Raw genomic sequence first — 9,371 nt, forward strand, 5'->3', positions numbered from 1 at the left:
AAATGTCAAGATGCCATATTGTTGAGTAGCATGTCCTGAACCCCATCACAAAGATAGTACATTATATACAAATCAACAAATGTGGTGCATTGCAGTAACAGAATGCAGAATAAAAATTATGTGATCATCTCGATAGATGCAGATAAAACATTTGATAAGATTCACCATCTTTTTATTATAAAAACTCACAACAAATTAGGCATAGTAGGAATTAACTCAACATAATAAAGGGTATATATGACAAGCCCAAAACTAACATCAGAATCAATGGTGAAAAGCTGAAAGCTTTTCCTGTAAGATCAGGAAGATGAAAACAAGGCCCACACTTGCCACTTGTATTGAATATAGTACTGGCAGTCCTAGCCAGAACATTCAGGCACAAAAATGAAACAAAAGGCATCCAAATATTAATAGGAAAGGAAGAAATAAAATTGTCTCTGGAGATGGAATAATCTTATATGTAGAAAACTGTACCAAAAACTCTATTAGAACTAATAAACTTTATAAAGTTGCAGGATACAAAAATCAGCTGCTTTATTTATTTATTTAAACCTTTGTTTTACATTCAGGGGTAGCTCCTCTCTGCTAGGCAAGTTGTCTCAACAAGTGTTCGCTCCCAGCAGGGAGGGTAGCTCCTCTCTGCAGCTGGTTGCCCCATTGTCTGTTCCAGCTCTCAAAAGAAAGGGTAGCTCCTCTCTGCAGCGGGTTGTCCTGTCATCTGTAGCTCTCAGCAGAGAGGAGGCTCTGGAGTGGGTAGCTCATCTCTGCAGCCAGTCATCCTCTATCTCCTGCTCTCAGCAGAGAAGAGGCCCTGGGGTTGGTAGCTCCTTTCTGCAGCCAGCCATCCTGAAGTCTGCTCAGCTCTGGCTGAGCCTGGGGCTTTTATGGGCCTTAGAGGGGAGGAAGTGCAGGCCAACTGGTCCATGGGTGGCCATGGGCAGTCCTGGAAAAGGCACCACAAGTTCCCACTCTGGTCCATGGGACTGGCAGCTTGGCCCCAGCCTTCAGGCCCTCCCTGCCCTCAGCTCCCCCTATAGTTTCCTTACTATGCTCACAGACCCCCCAAACCTGGAGGGGGCCAAGGTGGCAGGGGGCTGGTGTGTCAGCACTGCCCTGAGTGTTTGCACACCTGGCTGGGCTGTGACAGTGCCTGGGCTCAGTCTCAACTTTGTTCCAAGATCACAGTGGGCACTGACAGCAAGGAGAAGCTAGGCAGTGGAAGCAGGCATTTATAAGCCTGTGAAGGTGGGGTGTGGGTCCTTCCTGGGCCCCCAAGAGTACAGGGATGCCTGGGTCCACTACTGAAATTTGGGCAGCTGCAACTGTGCCAGGGGCAGGGCTCCTGCCTGCTCCATGGAGCAGGAGGTCCAGGTCTGCAGCTGCAGTTTGAACGGCTGCAGCTGCACCTGAAAGAGTGGGACTCCCGCCTGCTCCTGGACCATGAGAGCACAGGGATGCCTGGGTTCACAGCCATATCTTGGGTGGCTGCAGTGGCTCCCAGAGAACTCCTGCCCCAACTTGAAAGGGATGGGGCTCCCACTTATCCCTGGCTCCTGCCCACTCTGTGGAGCATGCAGCCCCCTGCTGCACCTCCCTGCTGCAGCCAGTGTGATGGCAGCGGTTGCTCCAGATGGCCCACTGTTGCCATCAATCTCAATTACATGTGGATTCTAAAAGTCAAATTCATAAAATAGAGATTAGAATGGTGATTTCCAAGGTCTGGAGGGTGGAGAGGGAGGGAAATGGGGGGATGTTTGGCAAAGGGTAAAAGGTTTCAGTTATGCAGGATGAATAAGTTCTAGAGATATTATATACAGCATGGTGATTATAGTTAATATTACTGTAGAATATACATGCAATTTGCTAAGAGAATAGCTCTTAAATATTCTCACCACATACAAAAAAATGGTAACTTATATGAGATGATGGATATGTTAATCAGCTTGTGGTAATCATTTCACAATATACATGTATATCAAGACATTACATTGTCCATCTTAAATATATACAATTTTTATTTTGTCAATTATATGTCAATAGAGAACCCATCCCCCAAAATTTGTGGTTTAGAGTTAGTATGAATAATGCCAATGGGTTTTCAGTTCATAAAAGAGTGATCTGCTGACAAAAGAATGAGGGGAGCAAGTTTTAGGAGATGTGTTGACTGAGGAAGTTTCTTCAGAAGGAGCTGCTGTATATTCCATTATGTTTTTTATTCTCTGTTTGATCTTGCTGTCCTGTGGAACTTTGATGTAATTAGGAAACACATTCCTCAGGTTAAATGTGAATAGGATGGGATGGTCTGTGAATGTGCGGGCGCATGGTGTGGGACTGGCGGGCAGCTCCGCCTGCGGACCTGGTGTGGGATCCAGTAGGTGAAGCCAGCTGGGCTCCTAAGTCTAGTGGAGACTTGGAGAACCTTTATGTCTAGCTAAGGGATTGTAAATACACCAATCAGCACTCTGTGTCTAGCTCAAGGTTTGTAAACACACCAATCAGCACCCTGTGTCTAGCTCAAAGTTTGTAAACGCACCCATCAGTGCTCTGTGTCTAGCTAATCCAGTGGGGACTTGGAGAACTTTTGTGTCTAGCTCAGGGATTGTAAATGCACCAATCAGTACCCTGTCAAAACAGACCAATCAGCTCTCTGTAAAATGGACCAATCAGCAGGATGTGGGTAGGCCCAGATAAGAGAATAAAAGCAGGCTGCCCAAGCCAGCAGTGGCAACCCACTCGGGTCCCCTTCCACACTGTGGAAGCTTTGTTCTTTCGCTCTTTGCAATAAATCTTGCTGCTGTTCACTCTTTGGGTCCGCATTGCCTTTATGAGCTGTAACACTCACTGCGAAGGTCTGCAGCTTCACTCCTGAGGCCAGTGAGACCAGGAACCCACCGGGAGGAATGAACAACTCTGGACGGGAGGAATGAACAACTCCAGAGGTGCTGCCTTAAGCGCTGTAACACTCACTGCGAAGGTCTGCAGCTTCACTCCTGAAGCCAGCAAGACCACAAACCCACCAGAAGGAAGAAACTCCGAACATGTCCGAACATCAGAATGAACAAACTCTGGACACACCATCTTTAAGAACTGTAACACTCACCGCGAGGGTCCATGGCTTCATTCTTGAAGTCAGTGAGACCAAGAACCCACCAATTCCGGACGCAAATGTACTAGTATGAGGGACATCATTACATTTAAGGAGCCTGGGAACACGGTTCTCAGGCTTTCGGTTTGGTTGTTCTGCACAATTTTTTTTTTTTTTTTGAGACAGAGTCTCACTCTGTCACCCAGGCTGGAGTGCAGTGGCACGATCTTGGCTCACTGCAAGCTCTGCCTCCCAGGTTCACACCATTCTCCTGCCTCAGCCTCCCAAGTAGCTGGGACTACAGGCACCTGACACCGCACTCAGCTAATCTGGTTTTTGTATTTTTATTAGAGATGGGGTTTCACCGTGTTAGCCAGGTTGGTCTTGATCTCCTGACCTCATGATCCACCCGCCTCGGCCTCCCAAAGTGCTGGGATTACAGGCGTGAGCCACCACCCCTGGCCTCTTCTGCACAATTTTTTAAGTGGGGGGACTCTTTTGAAAGGACTTCAGGCTGAGACTTCTGAAAGCATGTAGTGAAGGGCTGAGGGACAAGACCAGAAGGTGGGGCCTAGCCAAGGCTTTGTACTCGCATTCTTACACTCTCCTGCCATTGTCCCTGTGATGAAATGAGCTTCATACATATAGTTTGCTTGAAAATACACCTCATGGGCCAGGTGCAGTGGCTCATGCCTGTAATACCAACACTCAAGCCTTTGGAAGGCTGAGGCAGGTGGATCACTTTGAGGTCAGGAGTTCGAGACCAGCCTGGGCAACATGGTGAAACCCTGTCTCTACTAAAAACACAAAAATTAGCCAGACATGGTGGCACATTCCTATAATCCCAGCTACTTGGGAGTCTGAGGCAGGAGAATCGCTGGAACCCAGGAGGTGGAGGTTGCAGCGAGCCGAGATCACACCACTGCATTCCAGCCTGGGCGACAGAGTGAGACTCCATCTCAAAAAATGTTAAAAAGAAAAGAAAAAACACCCCATGAAGTGTCCTATGATCAAATTTCTGAGACAGAGGAGAGATATGGCATGCTCCATTGTGATTAAAAAAAACGTGGCTTGTAACCTTGGCTTCTCCATCTGTCAAGTGATGACAATCAATGCAGCAATAACTGCACACCTCTCTCACTTCCTCTCTCTTGATCAAGGAAGACTGTGAGAATTAAGAGTTGATCAGAAAGCAAAGTAACAATGATATGTTACAGAGGAGTGAGCTTGCAATGAGATCTGTGAAATTTGGCAAAGCACAGGAAGTGTCCAATTCAGCTAGATTGGATTGGTGCTAAGGCAGTTTGAGCTTGAGGTTGTCCAGAATCCTTTCTGCTAACGAATGCCAACTACAAGGGGAATCCCTGCCTCACCGTTTGCATATAGATTTAGGAGGAAATGCAGATTTGCTCATTTGGTTTCTGTGCAATTTTAGAGTCAAAATGAAACTAGAATGTGAATATTAGAGTATGTGAACCTTCTTAGTATAAAGCTGGATTCCCCTCTGACTTCTGTAGCATTTAGGAAATTGTGCCTTATAATAGCAGCAATCAATAATACATTGTCCTTTCATCAAGTAACAACAATGACTGCTGATGCTCAGATCCTAGTGTTCTGTAGAATCTAGCAACCCATTGTTTGGATACAAGGGTGCATGAATTAACAATATTCACTGCTCATTTTCTTTGTGTTTGCATTCTAGTCTTCTGGAAATGGATTTACTAAAAAAATACTTTCCAAAAAATGAAGTGTTGATTTTTTTTCTTTGTCAGGTAAGAGCCATAATACATGTTCATCATTTTTAAAAAATTGGAATAGGGCCGGGTGCAGTGGCTCGCGCCTGTAATCTCAGCTCTCTGGGAGGCCTGGGCAACATGGAGAGACTGTCTCTACAAAAAATTTAGAAATCAAGTGGGTGTTGTGGCAGGCACCTGTAGTCCCAGCTACTTGGGAGGCTGAGGCAGGAGGATCTCTTGAGCCCAGGAGTTTGAGGTTGCAATGAGCCATGATTGCATCACTGCACTCCAGCCTCGGTGACAGAGAAAGACCCTGCCAGAAAAAAAAAAAAAAAAAAGATGAGAAGGAAGACTATGCAACCCAAACACAATCATTGTTGACTTGTATACAATAGAGTCCCTTAACTCATCTCCACTTAAGGAAACCACTAGATTAATGGATACAACCTCTATTCTATCTGCAAAGTCCTCAGTAGGCTCAAGATGTGACACTGGCATTCTCACAGTGCATCTAAACACATCTCCCACCAGTTGCATGGTCTACTTACCAGGAGTCAGTTTTGTTTGTTCCCAGATGTGTTTATAAAGTTTGCAGTGAAAAAAATATGTAATTAGGAATTATGTAAATGGATGAAAATATAGCAAAGAACATTCTCCCCACCATCACCAAATGCTGTCAGATTAGGTATGGACATGCAACTATAAAAGATTGAGAACAAATCATTAAAATCTAGAAGATTTGTCCTCAGATTGCTTCAAGAGTATCTTTAAGTTCTTGCTACATTCTAAAGAAACTAGAAAATTGTAGTTGATGCATTAAGGATGTGAGACTGAATTGTTAGGTATGAAATACAAAATGAGCGAAGATGCTCCCAAAAACAAAATAACGAAACAAAAATAAAAACCCAACAACAATAAAACTGTAAATCCATGCAATGTTTAATATGTGCCGTGGACTGTTCCAGGCCCTGGAGAAATATTATTCATTTTATTGTCATAAATAATATTGTCATAATTACTCTATGAAGTAGAAAGTAAGTGGTATTGTTATCCCATTTTACAAAGGAGGAAACTGAGGTGCAGCAACATGAAGTTTCTTACCCTGGATTACCCAGCTGGTAAGTAATAGAGCAGACATTTAAACACAGGCAACCTGGTCCTTAGTCCATGACTTCAGCCATTGCCTTATACTAGCCTTTGATTCTACAGCAATCTTTTAAATTTTTGAGTAAAAACTCAATTGATATATGTTTGTATCTTTAAAAACAAATTATTTTGGAAATCCTGAAGCCTGTATAAAAGTAGAGAGGAGAGCGTGATGAGACCCCACTTACCCACTACTCAACCTCAGCAATTATCAACTCATGGCCAATCTTTTATTGTATCTCTCCTCATTCACCTCCTCCTGGCTCTTGAAATATATTAAAACAAATATAAGAAATCATATATTCTCATCCATAAATATTCCAGAATGCATCTCTAAAAGACAAGGACTTCTTTTTATTACACTTGATCTTAGTCAAAAGACCAAGAAGCGATGACAAGGACTTCTTTTAAAAAGCATAGCCATAGCCATAGCTACAACATCACCATCACACCTTAAAAAAGAGAAAAATTCCTGAATTTAATCAAATATCCAGACAGCATTTCAGTTTCTCTGACTGTCTCAAAAACGTTTTGAGGGATTTTCTCCCCAAATAGAATCCAAGTAAGATCACTGTAGTTGTTCTGTTTTCATCTACATGTCCCCTCCCCTCCCTTTTCCCCCTTCAAAGTCGAGAGAAAACAGGTCCTTTGTCCTACCAAGTGTTCCACACTCTGAATTTTGCTGATTTTTGTCTCCTTTGATGTCATTTAAACCATTTCTCTGTCTCTCTCCTGCATTTCTTATAAATTGGGAGGCATAAATAGAGGTACAATCTGACTCAGGTTTTGATTTTTTTGTCATTAGTCATAGGCAGTGTCATAGGCAGTGGTGTGATAATCCCACCAGGAGTACATACCGTCTGGTTATGTCTGTTTCTGTAATGTTAATATCTCTTGCCTGATCCTTTATTTTATGGGGATGCTATTCTACTATTCCTGCTTCGTTCGTTATGTGGAATATTTCCATTAAAGGAAATTTGTCCTCATCAACTCTTTAGTTACCCTAAATTTTGCACAGTAAAAGCAGGAAAAATGCTTGGTTATTTTCTATTTACCAGTTTTCAGCGAAATGAGCTATTTCCTAGCTTCTCTAAACGTGTCCGATGAGGGTTTTTTTCCTGAGTAATTTTAAACCTGTAACTTCACAAATATTGATGTGCTTCAGTCTACTGCAGTTATTGATGCTTGAACTGTATTATCTTTACCTGGGTAAACAGAACTTCCTCCATTTAGTTATTGGGTACTTGTAACACTACCCCATCATATTCTAGGCTCAACCTGTTCTATGTAATATTTTTAATGATATCTCTCCATATTATCTTTTGTTCTATTTTTCAACTAGCTGACAAACAGCTAGGAGGCGTGGCTGTTGAGGCTTCCTGGATTCATCTTCCAGCTTTTACATTTTCTGCTACATGACTTGGGCAAGTTATTTAACTTAGCTCTGCAACAATTCCTTCATCTATAAAATGGGAATCATAATAATTGTACTTACCACAAGTTGTTAATAGAAGGATAAACTGAATTAATGTATGTAAAAACACTGAGCACAGTACCTCACACACAGCAAAAACTCAACAAATAGTAGTTATTTTCATTAGGTTTAATAAGACTGCTTTAGTGTGTCCTCTTTCTAAATTTTTCTAAGCATTATTGACACAGTTGTGATTATAATTTACATTTATTTGCTTCCTGACATTTTTTCTTGTAACAACATACACATTATATATGTTCCAACAAACATTTCAGAAACACAAATTCCAAAAATGCTGTAAAACTCTATTATGTGGTAAATACCATAATTTACCTAACCTACAAGCTCTCCCATAAAGACAGCTAATTTCCAACTTTCCCTAGTATTAATACAAATAACGCAGTAGTGACTATCTTTGTGGACAGAGGTTTTTGTTTTTCTTCTACATTTAGCATTATTTCTTTACTACAAATTTCCAAAAGCGAAATGACTAAGTTTTGACCAAATTTATTTCCCCATGGTTTGTAATCGATTCACATTTACGTTTTTAGTGTGGACTGAAAAATGTTTATCCACTGCCAATTATTTTTCATGCTCTTTTATACAATCCGATGACAAAATCAAGCCATTGAAATTGGTCAGCGCTATTGAAAAAATGGTGTAGTATGGTCACAGTCTCCTAGCAGTCTATGTACAGCAATGTCAGCCTAGCTTCGTTGAGTCAAACCAGGGAGATGGAGGGAAATTTTGGCTGCCACAGCCTTGAGTGCGGTGAAAAAAGAAAAAAAAGAAAGAAAAAGAAAACCAGCACTCTGAGTAATCTAGTAATTGGGTTCTGCCCTCTCATGAGCTGACAGGAGACCACAATCACGTGAAACAACCACCAAAGATGGTAACAGCTCAGCAAGAGTGACTTGGGCTTAACAGGTGCAGAGTCCTGGCTTGGAAAGGGAGCTTGGCTTACCAGGGCTCTGCTGCACTCTTGAACCTGGCTGCAGGGGTATGAAAGGGGCTGAAATCTGGCCCAACCCCTGCCAAGCAGTGAAGCTTAGTGTGGATATTACCCTTCCAGAAGGATCCTCCCAGAAAGAGCAGATTTTTGCCACTCATCTACCCAGGAGAGGTGCTACTTTCGAATTCACACAAAGGCTGTGTGTGCCACATAGGTTCCTGACATTCCTTTGAGTGAGAAGCCTTGATCTGACAGGAAGACAGCTAGAGAGTGCTTAACTGTTGCTTCTCCAGAGTCAATTCCTTGTGGAAACTTTCTGTCCCTGCACCTGTGAAATGTGCTTAATGGATTTTGGAGACCTACGGTAAGATGGAAGATGATAGTCCTCAAAGGCCAGGAATCCCAAGGTGTATTACTTGAGCCACTCCTAAACCCAACAAAATTTCCCTTCTAAATTGCTATCCGCTCCCAAATAAGTATCTTAATTTAGCTAATTTTGTAGCCTAATGGTGAAGCTACAGACGCTAAATGAGAAAAGCCTGGATTAGAATTCTGCCTTCACTAAAATAATATCTGTGTGATCTCACATTCCTCCTTATCTGCAGATTCAGGAAATAGAAGCACCTGCTTTCCACTTTTCAGGGTTGTTTTGAGGACTAAATGAGTCACTGTGCATAAAGTATTTGGTGTGTTTTAAGTATTCCATAAAGGTGGGCTCTCACTGTTATTGTGCATTTGAGCCACCTTTGCCTCCTACCCCTTGTTTTGGGTAGGGAGTGGGTTTCTTCCTCTTGTGATGGGAATATTTCCATTTACCTGTGTTATACAGTCTTGGTTCTGGGGTTTGCATGCTGAGTGTAGCAGGAAGGGAGGAGGAAGCACTTACTTCTAAAGGGCACAGAATAGTTGCCACCTTCGTTAGCTATTCCTTTTCTATTTCCTATTCACCCAAGAGGAATTCCATGCATCTCCTCGGGC

At 42.5% G+C, this 9,371-nt stretch overlaps 3 annotated features.

The window, feature by feature from the left end:
- Positions 5,760–5,929: an enhancer, noted in NCBI's record as "experimental_79617 CRE fragment used in MPRA reporter constructs". NCBI's record gives its function as "activates a minimal promoter by MPRAs in K562 erythroleukemia cells, with activity observed for the introgressed 4:38309803 variant allele {active_cell/tissue: K562}" and the evidence as "EXISTENCE:reporter gene assay evidence [ECO:0000049][PMID:34662402]".
- Positions 8,068–8,197: an enhancer, noted in NCBI's record as "active region_21430". NCBI's record gives its function as "activates an Ori minimal core promoter by ATAC-STARR-seq in GM12878 lymphoblastoid cells {active_cell/tissue: GM12878}" and the evidence as "EXISTENCE:reporter gene assay evidence [ECO:0000049][PMID:35858748]".
- Positions 8,208–8,367: an enhancer, noted in NCBI's record as "active region_21431". NCBI's record gives its function as "activates an Ori minimal core promoter by ATAC-STARR-seq in GM12878 lymphoblastoid cells {active_cell/tissue: GM12878}" and the evidence as "EXISTENCE:reporter gene assay evidence [ECO:0000049][PMID:35858748]".

Source organism: Homo sapiens, chromosome 4 (assembly GCF_000001405.40).
Source record: "Homo sapiens chromosome 4, GRCh38.p14 Primary Assembly".
Lineage (NCBI taxonomy): Eukaryota > Metazoa > Chordata > Mammalia > Primates > Hominidae > Homo > Homo sapiens.